The 27,277-nt window shown below is 50.0% G+C and overlaps 1 protein-coding gene across 1 annotated transcript in view, besides 19 other annotated features; it reads right to left on the bottom strand.

Moving 5' to 3' along the window:
- IRAK2 (interleukin 1 receptor associated kinase 2) overlaps window positions 1-27,277 on the bottom strand; it is a 78,827-nt gene that overhangs the window by 45,050 nt on the left and 6,500 nt on the right. The window contains exon 2 of the mRNA NM_001570.4: window positions 20,676-20,858. Coding sequence (NP_001561.3) covers window positions 20,676-20,858 — 183 coding nt within the window. The remainder of the gene's footprint in view (window positions 1-20,675; window positions 20,859-27,277) is intronic.
- Window positions 1-27,277: part of a biological region, named in NCBI's record as "3p25 IRAK2 Alu-mediated recombination region", that runs on past both edges of the window. NCBI's record gives its function as "recombination_partner: LOC107303337 | LOC107303338 | LOC107303339 | LOC107303340".
- Window positions 496-778: a mobile genetic element, noted in NCBI's record as "direction; forward".
- Window positions 671-679: a non allelic homologous recombination region, noted in NCBI's record as "AluY recombination sub-region e, recombines with the AluYm1 recombination sub-region within the 3p25 BRK1 Alu-mediated recombination region". NCBI's record gives the evidence for it as "EXISTENCE:nucleotide sequencing assay evidence [ECO:0000219][PMID:19280651]".
- Window positions 1,677-1,971: an enhancer, noted in NCBI's record as "tiled region #12699; K562 Activating DNase matched - State 7:EnhWF". NCBI's record gives its function as "activates a minimal TATA promoter and a strong SV40 promoter by Sharpr-MPRA in K562 cells {active_cell/tissue: K562}" and the evidence as "EXISTENCE:reporter gene assay evidence [ECO:0000049][PMID:27701403]".
- Window positions 6,205-6,514: an enhancer, noted in NCBI's record as "active region_19420". NCBI's record gives its function as "activates an Ori minimal core promoter by ATAC-STARR-seq in GM12878 lymphoblastoid cells {active_cell/tissue: GM12878}" and the evidence as "EXISTENCE:reporter gene assay evidence [ECO:0000049][PMID:35858748]".
- Window positions 7,389-7,683: a mobile genetic element, noted in NCBI's record as "direction; forward".
- Window positions 7,403-7,423: a non allelic homologous recombination region, noted in NCBI's record as "AluYm1 recombination sub-region, recombines with the AluY recombination sub-region a within the 3p25 FANCD2 Alu-mediated recombination region and the AluSq2 recombination sub-region within the 3p25 BRK1 Alu-mediated recombination region". NCBI's record gives the evidence for it as "EXISTENCE:nucleotide sequencing assay evidence [ECO:0000219][PMID:19280651]".
- Window positions 9,014-9,093: an enhancer, noted in NCBI's record as "active region_19419". NCBI's record gives its function as "activates an Ori minimal core promoter by ATAC-STARR-seq in GM12878 lymphoblastoid cells {active_cell/tissue: GM12878}" and the evidence as "EXISTENCE:reporter gene assay evidence [ECO:0000049][PMID:35858748]".
- Window positions 12,349-12,849: an enhancer, noted in NCBI's record as "H3K27ac hESC enhancer chr3:10227531-10228031 (GRCh37/hg19 assembly coordinates)". NCBI's record gives its function as "activates a minimal SCP1, AML or CMV promoter by ChIP-STARR-seq in primed H9 embryonic stem cells {active_cell/tissue: H9 hESC(primed)}" and the evidence as "EXISTENCE:reporter gene assay evidence [ECO:0000049][PMID:30033119]".
- Window positions 12,850-13,350: an enhancer, noted in NCBI's record as "H3K27ac hESC enhancer chr3:10227030-10227530 (GRCh37/hg19 assembly coordinates)". NCBI's record gives its function as "activates a minimal SCP1, AML or CMV promoter by ChIP-STARR-seq in primed H9 embryonic stem cells {active_cell/tissue: H9 hESC(primed)}" and the evidence as "EXISTENCE:reporter gene assay evidence [ECO:0000049][PMID:30033119]".
- Window positions 13,524-14,504: a meiotic recombination region, noted in NCBI's record as "meiotic double-strand break mapped by DNA meiotic recombinase 1 chromatin immunoprecipitation followed by single-stranded DNA enrichment and sequencing in the germ cells of some male individuals with the PRDM9 A/B genotype". NCBI's record gives the evidence for it as "EXISTENCE:chromatin immunoprecipitation-seq evidence [ECO:0000229][PMID:25395542]".
- Window positions 13,708-13,720: a nucleotide motif, noted in NCBI's record as "nucleotide motif; similarity to the predicted 13-mer PRDM9 A binding motif (LD hotspot motif), CCNCCNTNNCCNC".
- Window positions 16,116-16,421: a mobile genetic element, noted in NCBI's record as "direction; reverse".
- Window positions 16,266-16,281: a non allelic homologous recombination region, noted in NCBI's record as "AluY recombination sub-region d, recombines with the AluY recombination sub-region b within the 3p25 FANCD2 Alu-mediated recombination region". NCBI's record gives the evidence for it as "EXISTENCE:nucleotide sequencing assay evidence [ECO:0000219][PMID:19280651]".
- Window positions 22,778-23,087: a mobile genetic element, noted in NCBI's record as "direction; forward".
- Window positions 22,939-22,948: a non allelic homologous recombination region, noted in NCBI's record as "AluY recombination sub-region c, recombines with the AluY recombination sub-region a within the 3p25 VHL Alu-mediated recombination region". NCBI's record gives the evidence for it as "EXISTENCE:nucleotide sequencing assay evidence [ECO:0000219][PMID:19280651]".
- Window positions 24,551-24,650: an enhancer, noted in NCBI's record as "active region_19418". NCBI's record gives its function as "activates an Ori minimal core promoter by ATAC-STARR-seq in GM12878 lymphoblastoid cells {active_cell/tissue: GM12878}" and the evidence as "EXISTENCE:reporter gene assay evidence [ECO:0000049][PMID:35858748]".
- Window positions 26,741-26,926: a mobile genetic element, noted in NCBI's record as "direction; reverse".
- Window positions 26,823-26,827: a non allelic homologous recombination region, noted in NCBI's record as "AluSg recombination sub-region, recombines with the AluSx3 recombination sub-region within the 3p25 BRK1 Alu-mediated recombination region". NCBI's record gives the evidence for it as "EXISTENCE:nucleotide sequencing assay evidence [ECO:0000219][PMID:19280651]".

Raw genomic sequence — 27,277 nt, 5'->3', positions numbered from 1 at the left:
CAAGCTTTTGAACTAAAATAATAGGACCTAAATTTGCATAGCACCACACTGGTATGGCACCGTGCATATTTATTTAATTTTCACAACAATCTCTGGTAGTTCATAGGTTTATCTGCATTTTATTTTTGAGTATATTGAGGCTCAGATAAGTGAAATGACTTGTGTCAAGTAAAACAGCCAACAACAGTCAAACCTGGGACTGGTTTCACTGTCTCCCACCCAGCTAGGGCAGAACTATTGAAACACCACTGCCATCACTGCCACCACCAGCCCCAATTCCCCCAGGGGCAGACGCCCCAATCCCCAGACAAACAGGAACAAAGGGGTGATCACTGACTTCCCCAGGGTGGGAGGAGTTGGGGAGACATCGGGAATGCACAAAAATAACAACAAGGCTGAATGTCGGGGGGTGATGAGTGGCTTCGTCCTTGTGTTTTCTTTACTGTCACTGACATTTTAAATAAATTTTCGTTTTGTTTTGTTTTGTTTTGTTTTTTGAGACGGAGTCTCGCTCTGTCGCCCAGGCTGGAGTGCAGTGGTGTGATCTTGGCTCACTGCAAGCTCCGATTCTCGGGCTCACGCCATTCTCCTGCCTCAGCCTCCCGTGTAGCTGGGACTACAGGCGCCCACCAGCACGCCCGGCTAATTTTTTCTATTTTTAGTAGAGACAGGGTTTCACTGTGTTAGCCAGGATGGTCTCGATCTCCTGACGTCATGATCCGCCCTCCTCAGCCTCCCAAAGTGCTGGGATTACAGGCGTGAGCCACTGCGCCCGGCCTGAGTGGCTTCTTCCTTGTGTTTTCTTTACTGTCACTGATATTTTAAATAATTTTTTTTTTTTTTTGAGACGGAGTCTCACTCTGTCGCCCAGGCTAGAGTGCAGTGGCACAATCTCGGCTCACTACAAGCTCCGCCTCCCAGGTTCACGCCATTCTTCTGCCTCAGCCTCCCGAGTAGCTGGGACTATAGGCGCCCACCACCACACCCGGCTAATTTTTTGTATTTTTAGTAGAGACAGGGTTTCAGCGTGTTAGCCAGGATGGTCTCGATCTCCTGACCTCATGATCCGCCCTCTTCAGCCTCCCAAAGTGCTGGGATTACAGGTGTGAGCCACCATGCCCGGCCCTCCTTTGGACAACTTTTATGAAGACTAATGGAGACACTGCTTAGCTCAAAATATGGGACCTTTATTTCTGTGGTGGTTATAGTCTTAAAATATTGGTTATCTCTTAAATAGTCCACATATTGAGGATAAGAAGAGTAGGATGAGAGTCTTTTAGTTTTCTTTTTCTTTTTCTTTTTTTTTTTTTTGAGACAGAGTCTTACTCTGTTGCCCAGGCTAGAGTACAGTGGAGGAATCTCGGCTCACTGCAACCTCTGCCTCCTGGATTCAAGCGATTCTCCTGCCTCAGCCTCCTGAGTAGCTGGGATTACAGGTTTGCAACACCACATCCAGCTAATTTTTTTTTTCTGTATTTTTAGTAGAGATGGGGTTTCACCATGTTGGCCAGGCTGGTCTTGAACTCCTGACCTCAAGTGATCAACCTGCCTCGGCCTCCCAAAGTGCTGGGATTACAGACATGAGCCACCGCGCCTGGCCTGTTTTATATTGTGGGGTTTTTTTCTTTGTGATTTATTCATATCATAGAATTTTTCAACAAAATCATTATGCATTATTTACACAGTAAAGTATACTTCTTTTAAAAAAAATCAGTTAGCAAGCTAGCTAAAGTAATGACGAGAACTGAGTCTTCCAAGCTAGTGTGAGTAGCGTTTGCCCTGGGGACCCCTCTGGCTCCAGTGAGCAGACGATGAATCAGCCCTTCATGAGATTCAGATCCACCTCACTTCTGTTTTTCACCAACGAATGTCCACGTTGTGTATTGATACGTTCAATTCAAGCACCCTCCCCACAACCCTGGAGATCTCAAGTCAGGAAGCTGAGGCTCAGCGGGGAACAAGACCTGCCCAAGGGAAACAGGGAGGCAGGCAGCACTGAGGCAGGAAGGCGGGGTCTCCTCCCAGAACCACTGACGTAAGGGCACCCAGAGAACATGCACTTCTCTCCCAACCTGGGCTCCACGGGCACTTCAGTGGTTCTATAGGCCACACCCCCCCATCCTGATTGCCATCAGGCCAAGGCCTTTGTGGCTGAAACTCGGAGTCTAGAAGCCAGTTTCTCTCCAACAAGGGCCTTGCCTGCAGGAATCACAGGATCACTGTCTGCCTCATGGCATCCCACTGCCTTCCACAGGCCCAGGAGGAGAATAAACAGTCCCTAGGCCGGGCACAGTGGTTCACACCTATAATCCCAGCACTTTGGGAGGCCAAGGAGGGCAGATCACCTGTGGTCAGGAGTTCTGGACCAGCCTGGCCAACATGGCGAAACCCCGTCTCTACTAAAAATACAAAAATTAGCCAGGCGTGGTGGTGCACACCTGTAGTCCCAGCTACTCAGGAGGCTGAAGCAGGAGAATCGCTTGAACCTGGGAGGCGGAGGCTGCAGTGTGCTAAGATTGTGCCACTGCACTCCAGCCTGGGCAATAGAGCAAGACTCTGTCTCAAAAAACAACAACAACAGAAAACCAGTCCCTTGTACAGAATGACAATGAACAATGTCGGGGTGAGTGCTGATTCAAGCACGGGTCTGGAACAGAGCTGTCGCTCCCAGGGTGCACAGAAGTGAAAGCTCTGCCTGTGCTCCCTTGGAAGGCTACCCCCCGCCACTCCCAGTCCTCATCTTTCCCAGCCTCCCCTCTCTGGCAGGGAGAGACTGCCTCTCTCCCTCCACCCTCCCTCCTCAAACTGCCTCAAGTGGGGCTTATGCTCCTGGAAAGGCTTGTCATCCTTGTGACATCTGTGTCAAAAGGGCAGCAGTGGCTCCCCTGGCTCAGGGCCGGCTGGGCTCGCTGAAGTCACTTCCCAACAGTGACCTCCTGCAGAGGCCAGGCCCGCAACAGTATAAAATGCTCCCTAAAGGTCTCACCTACACCCAGAACCGCCCATGATCCCAGCAAATGAGGCACCTTCTCCTTGTCGGAGGCCTGCCTGGCTGAGCCTCATTGTTCTCATCACAGTAAAACGGGGATGAGGGTGATACTTACAGCCTTACTTAACTTCAGTGTCCTGTTCCTTTTTTTTTTTTTTGAGACAGGGTGTTGCTCTGTCACCCAGGCTATGCAGTGGTGTGATCACAGCTCACTGCAGCCTCAAACTCCTGAGCTCAAGCTATCCTCCTCTCTTAGCCTCCCATGCCGCTGGGATTACAGGCAACACCACGCCCAGCTAATTTTTAATTTTGTGTAGAGACAGCATCTCACTATGTTGCCCAGCCTGGGCTCAAACTCCTAGGCCCCAGTGATCCTCCCACCTTGTCCTCCCAAAGTGCTGGGATTACAGGCCTGAGCCACTGCTCCCAGTCCAGTGTCCTATTCAGGGTAATGTTTTGTTCAGCACAAATCTTTGCCTCTCTGTCAAAACACATTTGGCAGGAACATCAAGGCCACCAACCCATTTGTGGCCGACCTCTGTGGGCTCCACCCGTGGGGAAGATAAAAAATGTCATTATGTTTTCATCCTAAAGAGAGTCCAGCTTTTCTCTTTCTTTTTCTTGTTCCTTCTGCAGTGACATGCGGTGGCCCCACCTGGCACCACAGGGCATTTGGAAGTGAGCAGGAGTGAGGAACAGATGGGGAGGGGCGGTGTCGGCAGGGCTACCTGTGACCAGACCTGTCAGCACACTTGGGGCTAACATCCACCCTCCCACACAAGAGGCACCAGGTCACACCAGCCACGGATGTAAGCCAACAGAGCCCCATGTCAGCCCCAACAAGAAGTTCTGGTTTCCTGTGAAACCCCCATCTTCTCAAGCTTTGAGTTTTTAGATGTCTTTAAAATGCAAGCAATAAATGGTGCGTATAAACATGAACCGCCCTCATCTCCACCCTGGAGCTGCCGGCATGGTCTGAGCTGGGTGGACAGGCAGGCCCATGCATGCCTGTCCCACTGTCCAAACATGAAGATGGAGAAAATGGCCTCTGTCCTCATCCCTCCAAACCTGCTCCCTGCTAGCTAGAAAGACGCAACGCCCACTCATTCAGGCTGGCACACCAGAGAGCTAGTGAAATAAAAATAGAACACCAAAGGCAGGATGAGGCAAAGGAGGCCAAATGCCTACAAGAAAGGGCTGTGACAAGCTTTAACTCTCGCACTGAGCTTCCTATCTGCCAAGGCCAAGGCTCAGGAGTGAGCTGCTCACGGACTTCTTATCACAGATAGACAGGGGCAGCCTCAGGCTTCCAAGACAGCACTCTTTCCTCCCAGGATTAAATTCTCAAGAGAATTCCACACATAAAGTTGATTCTGCAGGATCATGAGATCCAAAAACACAGACTGTGATCAAAGAGTAGAACTAGGATCACAAGAGTAAGCGTGGGGAAGCGTCGGCTCTGGCTTGAGCCAGACCCAAGCTCTGCGATTCCAGCTTCACGCCCAGGCACAGACCTCCTAACCCTCTGAGCTTCATGCGCCTCTCCTGTGGAATCAGAATAATAACCCCACACCTCCCAGGGCCGTCCCAGGGCTCCATGATGACAAATGTGAAGTGGCTGGCCCAGGGCAGGGGCCCACAACACTGTGCAAACAGCCACCCTCCTTCAGTTCTGCCAGAAAGGTGCAGATAGAAAAGAACCTCTGATTCCCAACTCGGGCCTCCGAAGGAAGCATTTAGGGTGGAAGGCTATTTTTAACATTTTAAACACTCTAATGGAAACCGATTCTAGGTGGGCAGCAACTTGGTGCACAGTCCCGAGAGGTACAGTGGCCATGAGAGCAAAGTAACATAGGAGCCCAGCAGCAGGGGAGGTGGGGGCCTGTGCCCACGCCATTGGCAGCCAGCCTCAGTCACACACTGGAGGTGGGCAGCCCAGGGTTCTCCCTGCTGGGACCCCCAGGGATAGGAAGGGGACGCAGGTGACGGAAGGAACAGCTAATCTATAGCTTAGGTGGCCACAGGCACCAGAAGGTTGACACGGCAGTTCTCAGACAGAGTCTGGATTTTTTGTTTTTGTTTTTGAGGCAGAGTCTTGCTCTGTGACCCAGGCTAGAGTGCACTGGTGCAACCATAGCTCACTGCAGCCTCTACCTCCCAAGTTCAAGCAATCCTCCCACCTCAGCCTCCCAAGTAGCTGAGACCACAGGAGCACGCCACCACGCCAGGCTAATTTTGTTTTTGTTTTTGTTTTTGTTTTTTTTTGGTAGAGACAGGGTTTTGCCATATTGCGCAAGCTGATCTCAAACTCCTGGGCTCAAGCAATCTACCTGCCTTGGCCTCCCAAAGTTCTGGGATTACAGGTGTGAGCCACTGCACCCAGCCTGGAATCTGGATATCCGTGAAAGCTGCCTTGCTGAGGCTGAGAACCCACAGTGATGAGGGCTGAGTCCCAGATACAAGGAGGAAATGGGGGAGGGGCAGAAGCGCTTCTCTGTGCCCCTGTCATGGTTCACCAGAGCTGGTTGCCAGGCATGATTTCTTTTTCTCTCTGATTTGTTTTCGGAATGCCTGTGCTCTTCCTAATGAGCATGAATCACTGATGCCACGGAAGGCAAATGAACTCCCGCAGTCTGGAGTGTGTCCTGCAGTCAGGCTCACCAGCAGGGGGATCCTCCTAAGCCTTGGCTTCCTCATCCGACAAATGAGATGTGGAAGTGGACCCCCGACCCGAGACCAGCCATGAGGATAAAAAAATTAACACCCAGCAGATCTAAGCTACCATCATTTGCTATAGTCTCGCTCTGTTGCCCAGGCTGGAGTACAGTGGCACGATCTCTGCTCATTACAACTTCTGCCTCCTGGGTTCAAGCGATTGTCCTACCTCACCCTCCCGAGTAGCTGGGATTACAGGCAGACACCATCACGCCCGGCTAATTTTTGTATTTTTAGTAGAGACGGGGTTTTGCCATATTGGCCAGGCTGGTCTCGAACTCCTGACCTCAGGTGATCCGTCCGCCTTGGCCTCCTACTACTGTTATTATAATGACCACTCTAACTCTAGGTCAGGCTTTTTTTCCTAAGTTCTTGCCCATATCTGTGGCCTATTTAATTCAGGTAACAGCTCTGGGGGATAATTGCTACCAAGTATAAGGTAGTTGTCTTATATCTGAAGAAAGCGAAGCCTAGAATGCAGATTTATTTATTATGTGCTTGTTTATGGCCCAGTTCCTTCAGGAGAAAGGACTAAAGGATGTTTATGGGTGCTGGGCCTTTGGCTGACGGGGCCTGGGCCGTCACACTAGCTGCCTGAGAACATTTCACACGGTGGCAAATCCAGGAGCTGTTGGAGCAGAGGGGACTCAGAGCTGGCAACAAGGTCTTTCCTGGGTGAGCACACTCTGGAAATTCCCCCCAACCCTTCACGCCCGTCAAACTACACAGTAATTTGTTCTTAGGCTGACTCATGTGGCCAGAATAGATCCCTTCCAGAACAAACAAAAGTGATTCAGCTATAACTAAAGCACCCTCGTGCCAGCTGGCTCTATCAGGGACAAACACAGCTTTCCGCGCCCTCTCTTTTCCTTTCCCTCCTAATCCCTGGGTTTGGCCCTCCAGGCCATACACAGTCACACACAACACACAACACACACACACACACACACACACACACACACACACACTCCCAACTCAAGCTAGACCTGAAATGAGGCAAACCTGAGAGCACAGCCTGCCTTCCTAATTGTGCGATCCCTGGTTCTCCACTGAACTTGTACTCCACCTGCTGCTGAAATGACTCATTCTTTCTCATTCATTCATTCATTCATTTTGTGTTAGGGAATGGGGAATCCTTTATCAAAACTGCCGTAATACTGACATTAAGCTAGTTAAATAAAAGACATCTAATTATAAACTGGGAGGTGCTCTATGCTGAAAACAAACTCGAGGGAGGGGTGCCTGATGGACCTACTTCCATAGGCTGGCCAGGAAAAGCTGCCATGAGAAGGGGCCACATATGCAGACACCCAGAGGATGAAAAGGACTAGCATGGAAGAATGTAGGGAAGCTGGGGAGAGACAGCATTCCAAGGAGAGGGAACACGTGTGCAAAGGTCCTTAGGCAGCAAACACTTGGCATATCCCCGCAAGTGAAGGATGACCGTAGTGGCTGAGGGGAATGACTGAGGGGGAAAGTGGTAGAGGTGAGGTTGAAGAGCCGGGCAAAGGTAGACCATGCAGGGCCTTGTAGGCCACAGTTAGGCAGAACCTTACTGTAAGCGCCCTGGAACTGAGGTAACCTGTAGCTGAGAGAGTACTTACCAAATAACCATCTGCTCTGTCTCATACTCCTGCCTCCTTAGCAATTAGGCTGGGCGTCACGACTGGTTCTAGCCAGTGGATTTTTTTTTTTTTGAGACAGATTCTCGCTCTGTTGCCCAGGCTGGAGTGCAGTGGCGCGATCTCGGCTCACTGCAAGCTCCGCCTCCCGGGTTCAAGCAATTCTCCTGCCTCAGCCTCTTGAGTAGCTGGGACTACAGGCACCCGCCACCACGCCCAGCTAATTTTTTTTTATTTTTAGTAGAGACGGGGTATCACCATGTTAGCCAGGATGGTCTCGATCTCCTGACCTTGTGATCCGCCGGCCTCGGCCTCCCAAAGTGCTGGGATTACAGGCTTGAGCCACCGCGCCCGGCCTAGCCAGTGGATTTTAAGTGAAGATGCTATCTATCACTTCCTGGACGAAGCACTTAACAGCTAGTGAGCCTCTTCCAACCCTCTCTTCCCCAGCCACAGTGACTTTGGAAGCCACATGTTCTAGATGACTTAGCTGGCTACAAGAATGCAGGAGGCTGCATGACCCTTACTGGACTTCAGGTGAGTGGGAAATCAATATTTGTTGCGTTGAGGAACTAGATTTCAAGGTTTATCTGATACCGCAGCATAACCAAGCCTATCCTGGCTAATGCATCATCTGAGTATGTGTCCAAAACTTGCAACTGGAGGAGACTAGTTGTAAGAGCTAAGCATCTAGCAGGAGTTCAATAAAGGATGGTTCACTTCACCCTAGCTCTTACCCTTCCTCTCTGAAACACTGGGGACTGGCTTAGAGGCATTCCACACTCTGTTCATTCTAACACCACTCTCAAGAGACCAACAGTGATTAAAGCCTTGCTTTTTTCCAATGGAATAATGAATGCATGGAAGGAAAAGGTCAAGTGACCTGTCCTTAGCCACTCAGCAATTAACTTTAAGAAAACCTCTAGCTGGGCGTGGTGGTGGGCGCCAGTAGTCCCAGCTACTCGGGAGGCTGAGGCAGGATAATTGCTTGAGTCCACGAGGCAGAGGTTGCAGTGAGCCAAGCTCATGCCACTGCACTTCAGCCTGGACAACAGAGTGAGACTCTGTCTCACAAAAAAAAAAAAAAAAAGAAACAAAGAAAACCTCACCATCTCGTATGCTTTGAACCTTCCCAGTCTACAAGAAAAGTAGATAGGGCAATGTCTTTACCCATTTTCCAGATGGGGCAAGTGATGATGCAATCTAGTAACCTACCAAGAAGCGGGTAAGGTCAGGCAGACCTGAATTCCCATGTTGGCCTCATCACTATGGGCTATGTGGCCTTGGGAAATTACTTAATCTCTGAGCCTCAGTTTCCTCTTCTATAAAATAGGGATAATAAGAGTTGTGAGAAAAGATGCTTACCTGGCACATATCAGGTGCTAAACACAAGCTATTACTAGAACCCAGGTGCTCTGACCCCTGGCCTGTGGTTTTGGCCCAAAACAGTGTCGCCTCCAGTGGCAAGTCTGCAGTGGGCAGGGTCTGGATGTAGGCATGTTCTGTTGTGCCCTAGCAGCTGGAAAGGGGCGGAGGCAGGGCAGCCTTCCAAGAGAGCAGACACACAAGCCCTGTCTGGACCTGGCACAGCCCGGCCCCTTCCGGAGAGGAAGGGTTCATTCTCTTCTGTTTCATTTTACATAGCAGCCCCAAATTTTCCACTCAATGAGAGCCCAGCTCCAGGAAGGAAATGACTCTGGCCGAGATGCCAAACCCAAAGTTAGAAACTGTCAAGAGTTGCACAACCAAGAAGAAACTGCATGAAAATTGTGAAACTCAAGACTTCAGGTAGATAGTAGCAACAGATGGGAAGAGAAAACCTTGGTCACTTCCCAAATCCCTTCGGATTCCTGAAGTGTCTTCCTGTCCTACTCAGTTGACATCTGGAACCTCACAGGCCCAGCCCCCCAGTCCATATAGTGGCCAAAACAGGGGATACTCCCAGGTGGAAGCCCTCCAACGTCTTCCCTTCACTCTCCGGTGAAAGCAAACTCTTGGCGGTAGCCTGCATGGCACTGGGTGGCCTGACCCTGCCCTGTCCCCAGCCTCAGCCCACCCCCAGGCCTTTGTACATGCTGCTCCCCCCGGCTAGATATGTGTGTGTCGTCCTTCACTTCTTGGTCCACTATTCCTTACGGAGGAGGCTCAAGTTTCACTGCCTCAGAGAAACTTCCCCTGATGAGATCAAATCCTCTCATCTTGCACTCTCCTACCTGCCCTCCCCACCTGACCTACATTTATCCTTTGAGCACTCATACTGCAGTGGGTGACATGCATCTGTGTGTTAGCTTCTTATAATTCATCTCCCACTGGACTGTAAGCTCCATGAGGCCTGAGACCTTGGCTGTGTTTTCATGGTTGCATCCCCAGCATCTAGCGCACAGTAGGCACTCAGCAAATGTATTTTTAGGCCAGGCGCAGTGGCTCATGCCTATAATCCCAATATTTTGGGAGGCCAAGGCGGGTGGATCACTGAGGTCAGGGATTCAAGACCAGCCTGGCCAACACGGCAAAACCCTGTCTCTACTAAAAATACAAAAATTAGGCCAGGCACAGTGGTTCACACCCGTAATCCCAGCACTTTGGGAGGCCAAGGCAGGGGGATCACCTGAGGTCGGGAGTTTGAGACCAGCCTGACCAACATGGAGAAACCCTGTCTCTACTAAAAATACAAAATAAGCCGGGCGTGGTGGCGCATGCCTGTAATCCCAGCTACTCGGGAGGCTCAGGCAGGAGAATCGCTTGAACCCGGGAGGCAGAGGTTGTGGTGAGCCGAGATTGCGCTATTGCACTCCAGCCTGGGCAACAAGAGCGAAACTCCATTTCAAAAATAAATAAATACATAAATAAATAAATAAAATTACAAAAATTAGCCAGGCGTGGTAGTGCATGCCTGTAATCCCAGCTACTCAGAGGTTGAGGCACAAGGATCGCTTGAACCCGGGAGGCGGAGGTTGCAGTGAGCCGAGATCGAGCCATGGCACTCCAGCCCAGGTGACAGCGTGAGACTCCATCTCAAAAAGACAAAAAATGTATTTTTAGTTCCTTATTAACTCTCTTGTCCAGCTCCTGCATATCTAAATCCCTGTGGCAGGGCAGAGGGAGAATTTCACCTCACAGGCCAGTGCACCCAGTTTCCAGACTCCACCCTCAGAGCCAGAGCCATCTGCTCCCCACCATCTACAGGCTCAGCACCTAACCCAGCCTTTGGTGGCACTTAATCAGCTCTAGAGCTCAGCATTGATTATAGTGGATTCTCCTTTGCCTGGGAGCCACAGCTGGGATACTCACTTCTGCCTCAATTCCTGCTCTTAAGCCCCTAAGATGCCAGTATATAAGGTCTGGAGCCCGGCCCACAGTCCCCTCCTAAGCCTGGTCATCTGGAAAAATCCCTCTCTGGAGTAGGCCTCTCATCGTTAAGCCCCAGGGTGATGGCGGACCCTAGCCCCAGAAACAGACTCTTCTCACACTGGATGCTGGTCTGAACATACAAGTACTGCCTCTGACCCCCTAGGTTCTCCATCATGGGGCTTCCCTGAGATGCCCAGCACCCTCACCATGGTCACCATTTCCCCAGAGCAGTGACTCACAAAGTATATTGATCTCATGGGCATATCAGTATCAAATGAAAAGGAGTACCATGGTCAAATATGAATGGGAAACAATAGCCTAAATAAGTTTCTTTGCTGCAGGACGTATCAGAGCCTTCACAGTTGGTATGCATTGTAAATCTCCAAAGGCAGAGGCAGTGATAAAGTATGCGGGGTTTCCCGAGTTTAGTTATTCATGAACCCTTTTGTTTGCAGCAGGGTATCTTGCTGGACCAGTCTTCTGAGGCACATGGTGTGGGAAATGCTACTCTAGACCATGATCTGCTACTGCAGATGCCCTGTGCATGTAGTACTCTCCACATGACAATGAGGCAGCTTTCAATTAGGACACAAAGGCAGTATTCCGCCTTCCTGTCTGACCCAGAGGGTGAATCTTCATCCAAGACCCAGTTCTTTCCTGGAGGCTCAGAGGTCACAACATTCACAGAGGACTATTTTTCAACTAGTCTTTGCCAGAAGATGGGAAGTGAAAGTGGAGAGGAGAGGATAAAAAGGGCTTCATTTTACAAAATGGGGCATCGGGAGACATTGCCTATAGCTTATGGAAGAAATGTAAGTACATTTGTTAACACTGCAAAGCCAACCTATAGAGGGACTGAAAATAGTGATAACAGTTGGAGTCACCCTAATCTGAAAACCTGAAATCCAAAATGCTCCAACATCCAAAACTTCTTGAGCAACAACATGACACTCAAAAGAAATGCACTTCAGATACTGGATTTTCGAATTAGGGATGCTCAGCCACTAAGGATATAATGCAAAAATTCCAAAATCTGAAAAAAAAAAAAAAAGTTAGCTGGGCATGGTGGTTTGCACTTATAGTCCTAGCTACTTGGGAGGCTGAAGCAAGAGGACTGTTTGAGCACAAGAGTTCAAAACAGCAGTAAGCTAAGATTGTACCACTGCCCCACTGCATTCCAGCCTGGGCAACAAAGCGAGATTCTGTCTCTATTTAAAAAAAAAAAAAAAAAAAAAGGAAAGAAAGAAAACAAAGACCCAGCCTGTAGCTAACAATCCAAGTCAACAAGAATCCCCATCTTGGGGGATCTCAAGAGTCTGCCTCAGCAGCAGGGAAGACTGTGGTACTAACCTTTCTAATAATCTAATCTCTGCTCCACCTTTCTGAGTTCTACTACTGACCCTCAGAAGAGGTTCTCTGCCAAATACAGAGAGCTCAAAGGCAAAAGTCAAATTAAGAGTCCTGCCTTCCCATCCAACTTACTGTTTCAGGTGGCTTCAAGGGAAGCTCCAGGTAAGCACATTAAATTGGGGGGTGAGGAGGCGAGGCTAAGCGCAGAAGCCAGGAAATAACAGACCAAACACTTCAGGGCTGAGAATTAAGATGTGTCTAGGCTGGATCTTCGGCTGTGATTACCACAGCAGAACTGATTAGAAGCCAAGAGAGCAGAAGCTTCTAGTTTTTTGACAGAACTGTGTTGCCAAAGAAACCACAGCTGAATCTGATAAAAGCTGGAGATTATTTGACTCCTACAGCTCCACTCAAGTCCCCAAACCCACACCAGCAGGAGGTGGTTTGTGAAAGCCAAGGAGCCCTAAATAAAAGCACATTCTTTCCAGTTCCGTTTCAGATAAGGCCACAGAGAATAATGAACGTGGAAGCTCCACTTCCCAGAAATCACGGAGGACCAGGTATCAGAGCAGTGTTTTGTTGTTGTTGTTGTTGTTGTTGAGACGGAGTCTTGCTCTGTCACCCAGGCTGAAGTGCAGTGGCACAATCTTGGCTCATTGCAATCTCTGCCTCCCAACAATCTCTGCCTCCTGGTTCAAGAGATTCTCTTGCCTCAGCCTCCCGAGTAGCTGGGATTACACGTGCCCACCGCCACCTCTGGCTAATTTTTGTATTTCCATTTTTATTTATTTTTGAGACGGAGTGTAGTCTGTCGCCCAGGATGGAGTGCAGTGGCACAATCTCAGCTCACTGCAAACCTCCACCTCCCAGGTTCAAGCAATTCTCCTGCGTCAGCCTCCCAAGTAGCTGAGATCACAGGCCTGAGCCACCACGCCTGGCCTAATTTTTGTATTTTTAGTAGAGACGATGTTTCACCATGTTGGCCAGGCTGGTCTTGAACTCCTGACCTCAAGTGATCCACCCACCTCAGCCTCACAAAGTGTTGGGATTACAGGTGTGAGCCACCGCGCCCAGCCAGAGCAGTGGTTCTTTTTTTTTTTTTTTTTTTTTGAGACGGAGTTTCACTCTTGTTGCCCAGGCTGGAGTACAATGGTGCGATCTTGGCTCACCACAATCTCTGCTTCCCAGGTTCAAGCGATTCGCCTGCCTCAGCCTTCCTGAGTAGCTGGGATTACAGGCATGCACCACCACGCCCGGCTAATTTTGTGTTTTTAGTAGAGACAGGGTTTCTCCATGTTGGTCAGGCTGGTCCCGAACTCCCGACCTCAGGTGATCCGCCTGCCTGGGCCTCCCAAAGTGCTGGGATTACATGCATGAGCCACCGCGCCGGGCCGAGCAGTGGTTCTTAAACTTCAAGGTGCATCAGAATCATCTGGGGAACTTAAGCCAGACTGCTGGGCCTCACCACTAGAGTTTCCGAATCAGCAGATGAGGTGGGGCCCAATAATTTGCGTTTCTAACAAGTTCCCAGGTGATACTGATGCTTAGGATGCTTCGCGAATCACAGATCACTGAGAACCAAGGGCTGCCAGATGGGCCAAGCAAAGAACTTACTCCTTTACCTGGGAATGGAGTTTTGGCCCGGCGCAGGGGCTCACGCCTGTAATCCCAGCACTTTGGGAGGCCAAGGCGGGCGGATCACGAGGTCAGGAGATCACCCTGGCTAACACGGTGAAACCCCGTCTCTACTAAAAATAAAAAAAAATAAAAAAATAGCCGGGCATGGTGGCGGGCGCCTGTAGTCCCAGCTACTCGGGAGGCTGAGGCAAGAGAATGGCGTGAACCTGGGAGGCGGAGCTTGCAGTGAGCCGAGATCGCGCCACTGCACTCCAGCCTGGGCGACAGAGCAAGGCTCCGTCTCAAAAAAAAAAAAAAAAAAAAAAAACACACAAAAACTCCACAAAAAAACAGGGAAGGGAGTTTTACAATTGCTCCTCTGCCAGATTTGTTGACTGCTATAGACAAGTAACTACCTCGTGTTTCTCATCTCAAGTAGGAGTTTTTTATTGTGGCTTCCTGTTCAAATTCCACCATGGAATTTGGGTGTGCTGGGGGAAGGGGATGCAGACAGCTTCTCTTTGGTTGAGAGGCCCTGGGTCACTGGGGCCATTAGAGAAGGCTACACATCACCCACACATACCAGATTTGCCCTAAAGGAAGTGACTGATTAGGCCCCCAGGCCTATCTCCCTTGTGGAAAGCAGATGTTTTATGCAGGTCAAGACAGGTGTATACAGATATCTGGGTGGCCAAAATGGACCGTGGCAGAAACTGCTAATGGTCCCTCCAATACTGATTGCCTCCTTTTCTAGAGTACTAGAAGCTTTAGTTGCACATAAAACCTTGCAACCAAAGATTACATTTCCCAGCCTCCCTTGCAAGCAGGTGTGGTTCTGTGACCAGGTTTGGCCAATAGCTTATGAGGGAAAGTAGGTGAGCAACTTCCTGGTCATGTCCTTAAAAGAAGTGGAGTGTACCCACCTTTTTCCTCTTTTTCCCTTCTTGCTGTCTGCGATGTGCATGTAGGGGCACAGAGGGGCCATCTCAGATGTGAGAAGTCTTGTGTCCACACTGGCAGAACAGTAAAGAAGAAAGAGCCTGGGCCACAAAACCACGGAGCTGCCACTTGAGCCCGGGGCAGCCTGGCAGTCACAGGAGAGGGAAACGAACGCCTGTCTTTTCTCAGCCACTGTGGTCTGCGCTTGTTTTACAGTAGTGAACCTGGAAGGCTAATAGAGGAGCCCAAGACATGGATGGCTAAAAGAGGAAAAAGGGGCTGACTCTGGCCAGCAGATTTGCTAGGGCAAGGAATGGGTAGCTGCTTTCTGTTCTAAGCCTTCTGTACTGATTTATTCTAATTCTCTTATTTATTTATTTATTTATTTATTTTGAGACGGAGTCTCGCTCTGCCGCCAGGCTGGAGTGCAGTGGTGCCATCTTGGCTCACTGCAAGCTCCGCCTCCCGGGTTCCCACCACTCTCCTGCCTCAGCCTCCTGAGTAGCTGGGACTACAGGCACCCGCAACCACGCCAGGCTAATTTTTGTTTGTTTGTTTTAGTAGAGGCAGGGTTTCACTGTGTTAGCCAGGATGGTCTCGATCTCCTGACCTTGTGATCTGCCCGCCTCGGCCTCCCAAAGTGTTGGGATTACAGGCTTGAGCCACTGCGCCCGGCCCATTCTAATTCTTAGAGTATTCAGTGTTTGACAAATTAAATAACTACGGCCTTGGCAACTAAGGCTGAGGAAATATCAAGGAACAGAGACCCACAGAGCCAGCCCTCTACCCATTCAGACCAGGCAGCCACTGCAGTTCACATTTCAAGAGACTGTGCAGGGATATGGCCCCCAGTGGGCCCCTGTCGTACCACTGAGTTCAAGCATGGCCTTCAAAAGGCCACAGTCACATCCAGGCACATCCCCTGGAGAGGTAAGTCCCTCAGGAAGCCACTTCATGTCCAGGACTTCTGGTGTGTGGGGCTTTCAAGTACTGTTTTCTTCAAATTTATCATTAACACCCTTTAAGAGGTGGTGGGCATCCAGCCAGGCGCGGTGGCTCACGGCTGTAATCCTGGCACTTTGGAAGGCCGAGGTGGGCAGATCACTTGAGGCCAGGAGTTCAAGAATAGCCTGGCCAACATGGTGAAACCCCATCTCTATTAAAAATTCAAAAACTTAACCAGATGCAGCGGGGCACACCTATAATCCTAGCTACTTGGGAGGCTGAGGCAGGAGAACCACTTGAACTCCAGAAGCAGAGGTTGCAGTAAGCTGAGATCGCACTACTGCACTCCAGCCTCAGTGACAGAAAGAGACTCCGTCTCAAAAAAAAAAAAACAAATTAGTGGGCATCTGTTTGAACTACTATAGAGATAACAAAAAATTAAAATTAAAAAAATAAAGGGCCTGGCGCAGTGGCTCAGCCTGTAATCCCAGCACTTTGGGAGGCTGAGGCGGGCAGATCACCTGAGGTCAGGAGTTTGAGACTAGCCTAGCCAACATGGCGAAACCCCATCTCTACTAAAAATACAAGGCCGGGCGCAGTGGCTCACGCCTGTAATCCCAGCACTTTGGGAGGCCGAGGCGGGCGGATCACGTGGTCAGGAGATCGAGACCATCCTGGCTAACAGGTGAAACCCCGTCTCTAACTAAAATACAAAAAATTAGCCGGGCGTGGTGGCGGGCACCTGTAGTCCCACCTACTCGGGAGGCTGAGGCAGGAGAATGGCATGAACCTGGGAGGCGGAGCTTGCAGTGAGCCGAGATCGTGCCACCGCACTCCAGGCTGGGCGACAGAGTGAGACTCTGTCCCAAAAAAAAAAAAAGAAAAAAAGAAAATGATGTAGCTGGGCACAGTGGCTCACACCTGTAATCCCAGCACTTTGGGAGGCCAAGGCCGGTGGATCACCTCGGGTCAGGAGTTCGAGACCAGCCTGGCCAATATGGTGAAACCCCCGTCTCTACTGAAAATACAAAAATTAGCCAGGTGTGGTGGCAGGTGCCTGTAGTCCCAGCTACTTGGGAGGCTGAGGGAAGAGAATCGCTTGAACCTGGGAGGCAGAGGTTGCGGTGAGCCAAGATTGCGCCACTGCACTCCAGCCTGGGTGACAGAGCAAGACTCCATCTCAAAAAAAAAAAAAAAGAAAAGAAAAAGAAAAAAAAGAAAATGATGCTTACTCAGGAATAGGGCATTGGAATGAGAGTACACGTGCCATAGTAAACTAAGTGTGTATCCAGGGAGGTTTTTCAAAGGAAAAGTGAAGAGGATTACATAACTGTTTTGAGATAACTATCCTTGAATAACAAGAGTGATTCCAGTCTCCAGGGTCGGATAGGCATTTGCTGGGCAGATGTCCTCGCAGAAGTATTTTTTGTGTGTGGTTACAATGGTCTTTATGCAAGGTTGTGGTTTTTGTAGAGTCTTCCGTGACAGTTATTGTTGTTGGGCATTTATGCATGACAGTCCTCCCTTCATGGCCTTCCCTAGTTCTATTTGTCAGGGTTATTTATTTTTGAAATGGAGTCTCGCTCTGTCACCCAGGCTGGAGTGCAGTGTGCAATCTCCCCTCACTGCAACCTCCGCCTCCCAGGTTCAAGCAATTCTCCTGCCTCAGCCTCATGAGTAGCTGGGACTACAGGAGCCCAGCTAATTTTTTTGTATTTTTAGTAGAAACAGGGTTTCACCATGTTGGTCTGACTGGTTTCAAACTCCTGACCTCAGGTGATCTACCCGCCTCGGCCTCCCAAAGTGATGGGATTACACGCGTGAGCCACCATGCCCAGCCAAGGGTTATTTTTTTTTTTAACACAAAGTCACTCCATATTGATTCTGACAACTTTCGCAGGGGGAATGTAAGGAGAGGAACGGCAGCGGCTCAGGAGCACCGGGCAGGGAGGGGTTTCAGGTGGGTTCCAGGAATGGGGAGGCTGTGGCCTGGGCAGCTAGCTGACCCTCTCCACTCTGAGGAGGAAGGTGTGCTTAGGGAGGCAGCCAGCAGGGGTGGAGACAGAAGTCCAGGGGATGGGGAGGACCATGACTCAAGAGGAGCCACCACTATGCTGCTGGGGGCACACAGAGGAGTCAGGGTCCAGCCTGTGCAGAAGCAGGCCCAGCCACCGTCCTGTGCTGGAACATCACTCCCATTGGTAGCCAGATCGCCCCATTCCCGACCCCAGACAGGAGGGCCTGGAAAGTTGCTTGCCAGCTGAAGGGAGGAGATGTTCTCGCTGCCCCACTGGCCTCCCCGTGACTGGTGTGGTCTGCCCCACAATGCCCCCAAAAGCCCAGCCTGGGCTGTAGCTCTAGATCTCTCCACCTGCACGTCCACCACAGCATCCCCTGCTCTCCTGGTTTATCTCAGAGGGTGGTACTCTCTAGGCCCCCACCCTCAGGCCTTTGCTCCCAGTCCCCCCTCCTGGAAGCCCTCAATGACTCCAGAAGACCTGAGGGATAGGCAGGTGCTGAATCTGGTCTGATGGTCCAGCCAGGTGGTTCCCAGCTCAGGAACCCCAGACAGGACAGCTCCTCCCCAGGTGTCTGGGGCTCCCACCACTGGCTCCTCAGGGCCCTTGCACATGCTGGCCCCTCTCTCCTGAGCTCTTACCCAATGCGTCATGTGGCTGTCTTCTTCCTATTCCTCTAGGTTCACATCCTCACACTGGCCTTCCTTGACCCCCTGTCCTAGGAGGCTCCCCTATCTGGTCACTGTATCCTGCCTGCCCATTTCTGTACTAGTTTTCCTATGCATTAACTGTCTCCTCACAAGACTGTGTCCTCATGAGGGCGGAGGACCTGTCACATTGCCTGTGCTGTATTCCAGAACCTAGGGCAGAACCAGGCAGGTGCTCAGTTAAGTACATGCAGAAGACTGGCTCCCTGCCCTACGCTGAGGGGGTCTCTTTGGGGATGTGAGGAGGGGTGGGGGTAACCAGACCCCCCATCCCCACTGCCTTCTGCTGAGCACCAGCTGAACATCAGGCACTTATTCTCTTCGACTTCACAGCCACCCTTCAGGGTAGGGAGGTATTACCAGCTAAATATGTCCCCATCACACATGATCCTGTTCTCTCAGAGGAGGGTAATTTGTTAATACTAAATATCAATCAACACTTAAAATGCAAAAACCTTCAACCCAGACATTCCAATACTATAATAGAAAGCCATCCCATGGCTACACTTACATGTGTGCAAAACAGGCTCTATACATCTAAGTGTATCATGACACTATACAGAATAGAAAAATGGCTGGGCATGGTGGCTCACACCTGTAATCCCAGCACTTTGGGAGGCCAAGGTGGGCAGATCACCTGAGGTTGGAAGTTGGAGATCAGCCTGGTCAACATAGTGAAACCCTGTCTCTACTAAAACTACAAAAAGTTGACTGGGCACGGTGGCTCACACCTATAATCCCAGCACTTTGGAAGGCCAAGGCAGGTGGATCATTTGAGGTCAGGAGTTTGAGACCAGCTTGGCCAACACAGTGAAACCCCGTCTATACTAAAAATACAAAAATTAGCCGGGCATGGTGGTGGGTATCTGTGGTCCCAGCTACTCAGGAAGCTGAGGCAGGAGAATCACTTGAACCCAGGAGGCAGAGGCTGCAATGAGCCGAGATCTCACCACTGCACTCCAGCCTGGGCAACAGAGAGAGACTTCATATAAAAAAAAAAAAAATTAGCTGGATGTGGTAGTGGGCACCTGTAATCACAGCTACTTGGGAGGCTGAGGCAGGAGAATCTCTTGAACATGGGAGGTGGAGGTTGTGGTGAGCCAAGATCGTGCCACTGCTCTCCAGCCTGGGAGACAGAGTGAAACTTCATCTCAAAAAAAAAAAAAACAACTGAAAAATGCTAGAAGGAACATAAACACATCTCAATAGGGGCAAACAAATCATAGAGCATCTGTCAAAGGAATACAATGTAGCTATTAGAAAGAATGTGTCAATATGAAAAGTCCCCAAGGTCTTTGCTAGGTGAAAAAAAATTCACAATACATGATGTGCTACTAGCTGTATCAAAAGGGGGTTGCAGGCAGGGTGATGTGACTCATGCCTGCAATCCCAGCACTTTGGGAGGCCAAGGCAGGAGGATCACTTGAGACCAGGAGTTCAAGACCAGCCTGGATCTCTACAAAAAAATGAAAAATTAGTCAGGCATGGTGGCATGTGCCTATAGTCCCAATTACTCAGGAAGTTGAGGCAGGAGGACACTTGAGCCCAGGACATCAAGGCTGCAGTGAGCTTTGATCACACTATTGCTCTCCAGCCTGGGCAGCAGAGCACGACCCTGTCTCAAAAAAAAAGTTTTTAAAAAAGGAATTGCAGATATATAATACCCTTGCCCATGCAGAGAAAATTTCTAGTAAGACAAGCCAGAAATTTTTACCAATCATTACTTCTTGGGATGTAAAGTGGGGAAAAGAAGCAATATGAATCATTTTTGCTGCATGCTTTTTTGAATTTTTGTTATAGCTATTGGGGTTTTTTAAATTAATTAATGTATTTATTTTTGGAACAGATAGCCCAAATTTAAAAGGTATGAAATAATTTACAGTAAAGTCTCCCTCCAATACTGTGTTCTCTGGCAGCCCAGTTCCTCTCCCCACAGGTAACCACTGTTACCAGTTTCTTTTTTTTGTTTCTTTTTTTTTTTTCTTTTGGAGACAGAGTCTCACTGTCACCCAGGCTGGAGTGCAGTGGTGCAATCCTGGCTCACTGCAACCTCCGCCTCCCAGGTTCAAGCGATTCTCCTGCCTCAGCCTCCTGAGTAGCTGGGATTACAGGCGCAGGCCACCAAGCCCAGCTAATTTTGTATTTTTAGTAGAGACGGGTTTTCACCATGTTAGCCAGGCCAGTCTCAAACTCCTGACTTCAGGTGATTCACCTACCTCAGCCTCCGGAAGTGCTGGGATTACAGGCGTGAGCCACCGCACCTGGCCTGTTACCAGTTTCTTATGTGCATGGTAAACTCACTCATTAAATTTTTTAATTAAAAGAGGAAAAAAGTATTAAGGCCAGAGAGTGCAACTCACACGGATGGAAACTGCTCAGGAGCGTGATGGGCCCCACTCAAGGAGGGCCCTGAGTTACTCACAGTTCAGGATGATCTGGGCAGCCCGGTAGAGCTCCAGGCGGCACAGGAGGTCCACAAGTTGCTGGACGGTGGCCTGCCGCATGCCCCACCACCACAGCAGCTCCCGCGTGATGCTCACACCCTGCACCCGCTCCATGGACTTGATCTTCCGCAGCTGGGTCAGGTCTGTGATCACGTAGGAGGCTGGAAGGGACGGAGAGAACTCTGCTTAGAGTCAGAGAGGCAGTCCCTCTAGGACAGGTCCCCACACTAGCCCCTAGCTGGGCTTTTCCAGGACATCCTCCCCAACCACCGCCTCCACACTGGAAACACCACCATTAGCTGAGGTCCACAGGTGGCCCAAGTTACAACGCTGACTCTGCTGGGCACCCATGGGGTCCAGTACATATGACTTAGGAGAAAGACCACGGGACAGGAGGGTCAAAGCCTTGAGCATTGGCTGCTGCTATGCCTGGGGCAGTCACTGCGCCCGTGGGAGCCTCAGTGGGTACTAGCTCTGCCTGCCTCCCCTTCTATAATGGAAGGTCCGTGTAGGCAGGGAGCTCTACCTGTTTGGTTCACTGTTACTTCCCCAGAATTGAGAATAGTGCCTGGTTCAGAGTGGAGGTGGGGCCAGGATGAGGGTGAGTCAGGTGAGGCACCTAGGGAAGGAAAATGCAGGAGGCGCTCATCTTCAGGTGGCACCGCAGGACCCTGAGCATCAGCGCCTCCTTACATTTTGCCCTGGGCATCTCATTCCTCTCAGCTAAGTCCCAGTCCTGGTCAGGGGAACTCAACAAGTGTATGAGGCCAGGTGCAGCGGCTCACAGCTGTAATTCCAATACTTTAGGAGACCAAGGAGGGATTGCTGGAGCTCAGGAGTTCAAGACCAGCCTGGGCAACATAGTGAGACCCTGTCTCTACAAAAAATAAACAAAGTAGGCCGGGCATGGTGGCTCACACCTGTAATCCCAGCACTTTGGGAGGCCGAGGCAGGTGGACCACAAGGTCAGGAGATCAAGACCATCCTGGCTAACACGGTGAAACCCTGTCTCTACTAAAAATAGAAAAATTAGCCGGGCGTGGTGGCGGGCACCTGTAGTCCCAGCTACTCGGGAGGCTGAGGCAAGAGAATGGCGTGAACCTGGGAGGCGGAGCTTGCAGTGAGCCAAGATCACGCCATTGCACTCCAGCCTGGGCGACAGAGCGAGACTCCATCTCAAAACAAAAAAAAGACCCTGTCTCTACAAAAAATAAACGAAGTAGGCCAGGCGCAGTGGCTTACGCCTGTAATCCCAGCACTTTGGAAGGCCAAGGCGGGCAGATCGCAAGGTCAGGAGATTGAGACCATGCTGGCTAACATGGTGAAACCTCGTCTCTACTAAAAATACAAAAAATTAGCCGGGCGTGGTGGCGTGCACCTGTAGTCCCAGCTACTCGGGAGGCTGAGGCAGGAGAATGTCATGAACCCGAGAGGCAGAGCTTGCAATGAGCCAAGATCGCGCCACTGCACTCCAGCCTGGGAGACAGAGAGAGACTCTGTCTCAAAATAAATAAATAAATAAATAAACAAAGTAGCCAGGCATGGTGGCATGCATCTGTAGTCCTAGCTACTCAGGAGGCTGAGATGGGAGGATCACTTGAGCCCAGGAGTTGGAGGCTGCAGCAAGCCACGATGATGTCACTGCACTCCAGCCTGGGCAACACAGCAAGACCTTGTCTCCAAAAACAACAACAAAAAAGATATGCTAAGTGAATGACTGAATGAAAACACACACACATACCACATCGTCTTCACAGAACTGTTATAAGGATCAGAGAGCCATGGATACAAAAATACTTTGCCAATTCTGAAGTATGGGACAAAACTTGCAGGGAGCTACCACTAGTAACAATAAAAATAATGCATTCTTTCTTTTGGTGTTTTACCATAAAATTGATGGTTGTTCACCAAAAAAAAAAAAAAAAAAAAAAAACATGGACAATACAGGGGGAAAAGTTACACAGCATCTCACCACCCTCCTAAGGCCATTAGGGTACTTCCCCTTTCCAAAAATCACCCCCTCTACATAGATGTGTCTTTGGATGTAGTTGTTGCCACGCTGCAGGTAAGATTTTGTATCTTTTCTTTTTTTTTTTTTTTTTTTTTTTGAGACGGAGTCTCGCTCTGTCACCCAGGCTGGAGTGCAGTGGTGCACTCCTGAGCTCACTGCAAGCTCCGCCTCCCGGGTTCAGGCCATTCTCCGGCCTCAGCCTCCCGAGTAGCTGGGACTACAGGCGCCCACCACCACGCCTGGCTAATTTTTTTGTATTTTTAGTAGAGACCAGGTTTCACCACATTAGCCAGGATGGTCTCAATCTCCTGACCTTGTGATGCGCCTGCCTCGGCCTCCCAAAGTACTGGGATTACAGGCGTGAGCCACCGTGCCCAGCTGATTTTGTACCTTTTCTTAAGAGATGGGGTCTCACTATGTTGCCCAGGCTGCTCTCGCACTCCTCGCCTCAAGCAATCTTCCCACCTCAACCTCTTAAAGTGCTGGGATTGCAGGTGTGAGCCACCATGCCTCACCTGAGATTCTGCATCCTGGTCTTATTTATTAACATTATACCACAGGGACTGGGCACAGTGGCTCATGCCTATAATCCTAGCACTTTGGGAGGCTGAGGCAGGTGGATCACCTGAGGTCAGGAGTTCGATACTAGCCTGGCCAACATGGTGAAACCCCGTCTCTACTAAAAATACAAAAATTAGCCAGGTGTGGTAACACACGCCTGTAATCTCCCAGCTACTCGGGAGGCTGAGGTAGGAGAAATCACTTGAACCTAGGAGGTGGAGGTTGCAGTGAGCTGAGATCGTGCCACTGCACTCCAGCCTGAGCGACAGAGACTGAGTCTCAAAAATATAAAAATTAAAAATAAATAAAAATTTAAAAATCTTTTTTTTTTTTGAGACAGGGTGTCACTCTGTTGCCCAGGTGGCATGAGTACAGTGGTGCAAACATGGATCACCACAGCCTTGGCCTCCCAGGCTCAAGCAATCCTCCCACCTCAGCCTCCCCAGCAGCTGGGATGACAGACACACCACCATTCCTGGCTAATTTTTTTTTTTGGTACAGGCATGAACCACTGTGCCTGGCCCATAAATGGATTTTTATGACCAGTATTCCACTGGTTTACTGAAGTGAGAAAGGCATTTTTATTAAAACTAGGAGTAATCAGCCGGGTGCAGTGGTTCATGCCTGTAATCCCAGCACTTTGGGAGGCTGAGGTGGGCGGATCACCTAAGTTCAGGAGTTCGAGACCAGCCTGGCCAACATGGTGAACTCCCATCTCCACTAAAAATACAAAAATTAGCCAAGCGTGGTGGTGCCCACTTGTAGTCCCAGCTACGTGGAAGGCTGAGGCAGGAGAATCACTTGAACCCGGGAGGCAGAGGTTGCAGTGAGCCGAGATCACGCCACTGCACTCCAGCGTGGGCAACAGAGTGAGACTCCATCTCAAAAAAATAAAACAAAACAAAACAAAAAAATATATAAACATAGGTGGGCCGAGTAGAAGAAGGGAAGGCAAGAGATGAAGCCCAGGACCACATAACAAAGACCCTCAAGTGAATGCCCAGCTTTGGAGTTTGGACTTGATCCTAAGAGTTACAAGGGACCACAGAAAATTTCAGAGCCAGTGAGTGCTGTGACCAGATTGCACAATCCCCTACCCTTTGGACAAAATGGGCTGGTGACAGTCTCCTGCACACAGAAAGCCTCCAGGAGAAGTGCCCAATTAAGATGGAAAGTTCCTAAATTGCTATGTTAGTCACTGGAAACCCCAGGCCAGATTGCTGGTCAGTGGGAAGTGATGTCAGCTGGGTCAGCGGCTGCTTCTAGCAATACAGAGAAGAGAACGGATGGAAAAGGAAGGACCATCTCCCCCCACGAAGCATTGGTCATCCACACACACTCCCATCTTGGGAGGCAGCATGACGTAATGGGAAAACAGAAGCCCAGGGCCACCCCTCGTGGGTGGCAGCAGGAACTCAGCCACAGCCTGACTCTCTGTGGGCTGAACTTTCCTTACTCGTGATGGTAATACAAGAGAAACAGGAATTAAACTCTAAGGTGCCTTCCAGCTTAGACATTTTTGTTCCATGACGGTGCCATATCTTAAGGTGTTGACCAATCAGCATTTAACCAGACCCTTTATTTATTTTATTTAGTTTTTTTCAGACGGAGTCTTGCTCTGCTGCCCAGGCTGGAGTGCAGTGGCGTGATCTCAGTTCACTGCAGCCTATGCCTCCCAGGTTCAAGCAATTCTCCTGCCTCAGCCTCCCAAGTAGCTGGGGCTACAGGGCATGTGCCACCACTCTCGGCTAATTTTTTGGTATTTTTAGTAGAGATGGAGTTTCACTATCTTGGCCAGGCTGGTATCAAACTCCTGAGCTCAAGTGATCCACCCTCCTTGGCCTCCCAAAGAGCTGGGATCACAGGCATCAGCCACCGTACCCAGTCTCAACCAGACCCTTTAGAGTCGGGACATGATAGAGATCTTGAGGGGATGAGTCACTACCAAGGCCTTCTGCTAAGCTGCAGCTTTTTTCTCAGCATGGACAGGTAATAGCTGGTCATCGTAGAATATTTGGGAAACAAGAAAATGAAAGTCCCCATGATTATCCCACTTGGAGGACTCCAAGGACACCACCAGTTACATTTTGGTGTCTAATCTTCCAGACTTTTTCTACAGATATGAAAACATGTGCGAAAGTCAGCAGGACAGTAGTGGTGGTTCAGAGGCCAGATATTGGGATTCGGGGCCTGGGTTCAAATCCTGTCTCTGCTGCTTACTTGCTGTGTTTTTGGGGAAGGTGTTCATCTCCCCCTGAGCCTCAGTTTCCTCATCTGTCAAACAAGGATAACAGCAGCACCTGCCTCCGAGATTGTTGCAAGGATTAGATGAGTTCTATGTACAGAAGCACTCAGAACAGTGCTTAACACACAATAAACATGATATAAGTATTAGCTGTAAGTGTTAAACTATCTACATTCTATGAAAACCTGTTTTTCATAGAGTTTGGCCAGGTGCGGTGGCTCACGCCTGTAATCCCAGCACTTTGGGAGGCCAAGGCAAGCGGATAACGAGGTCAGGAGTTTGAGACCAGCCTGGCCGACATGATGAAACCCCGTCTCTACTTTTTTTTTTTTTTTTTTTTTTTTGAGACAGAGTCTCGCTCTGTTGCCCAGGCTGGAGTGCAGTGGCGCGATCTTGGCTCACCACAACCTCCACCTCCTGGGTTCACACAATTCTCCTACCTCAGCCTCCCGAGTAGCTGGGACTACAGGCATGTGCCACCATGCCCAGCTAATTTTTGTATTTTTGGTAGAGACGGGGTTTCACTATGTTGGCCAGGCTGGGCTCAAACTCCTGACCTCGTGATCCACCCACCTCGGCCTCCCAAAGTGCTGGGATTACAGGCATGAGCCACCGCGCCCGGCCTTTTTTTTTTTTTTTTTTTTGAGTCGGAGTTTTACTCTTGTTGCCCAGGCTGGAGTGCAATGGCACATGTCAGCTCACTGCAACCTCCACCTCCCAGGTTCAAGCAATTCTCCTGCCTCAGCCTCCCGAATAGCTGGGATTACAGGCGAGTGCCATCACACCTGGCTAATTTTTTGTTTGTTTGTTTTTTTGAGACGGAGTCTCGCTCTGTCGCCCAGGCTGGAGTGCAGTGGTGCGATCTCTGCTCACTGCAAGCTCCACCTCCCAGGTTCACACCATTCTCCTGCCTCAGCCTCCTGAGTAGCTAGGACTACAGGCGCCTGCCACCATGCCCGGCTAATTTTTTTTTTTAGTAGAAACGGGGTTTCACTGTGTTAGCCAGGATGGTCTCAATCTCCTGACCTCATGATCCACCCACCTCAGCCTCCCAAAGAGCTAGGATTACAGGCATGAGCCACCGCACCTGGCCAATTTTCATATTTTTAGTAGGGACAGAGTTTCACCATGTTGGCCAGGCTGGTTTCGAACTCCTGACCTCGTGGTCCTCCCACCTTGGCCTCCCAAAGTGCTGAGATTACAGCCGTGAGCCACTACGCCCAGCCCATCTCTACTGAAAATGCAAAAACTAGCAGAGTGTGGTGGCGGGCGCCTGTAGTCCCAGCTACTCTGGAGGCTGAGGCAGGAGAATCACTTGAACCCAGGAGGCCGAGGTTGCAGTGAGCTGAGATTGCATCATTGGACTCCAGCCTGGGCAACAGAGTGAGACTCCGTCTCAAAAAAAAAAAAAAGGCTGGGTGCAGTGGCTCACGCCTGTAATCCAAACACTTTGGGAGGCTGAGGCGGGCGGATCACGAGGCTGGTCTCAAACTCTTGGCTTCAAGAAATTTTCCCACCTAGGCCTCCCAAAGTGTTGAAATTAGAGGCGTGAGCCACTGCACCTGGCCTGAAAATGTTTTTATCCCTGATGATTAACAGTACAGGGACTATCACTCTTGAGTTCCTGAATCCTGCAGGAGTTCACCCGAGGCAGTAGAAAACCTTGCCTGTCTTCAAAGTCCTCCACAGCAGGGATGGCACAGCCTCCTGAAATGACCCATCTTAGAATCGAATGCCCACACCCCTCCCTGGGTGGGGGATGA

The sequence above is a fragment of the Homo sapiens genome, chromosome 3, assembly GCF_000001405.40.
Source record: "Homo sapiens chromosome 3, GRCh38.p14 Primary Assembly".
NCBI classification, from domain to species: domain Eukaryota; kingdom Metazoa; phylum Chordata; class Mammalia; order Primates; family Hominidae; genus Homo; species Homo sapiens.
Note: the sequence above shows the minus strand (reverse complement) of the source record. Positions and strands in the feature narration are given on the sequence as shown.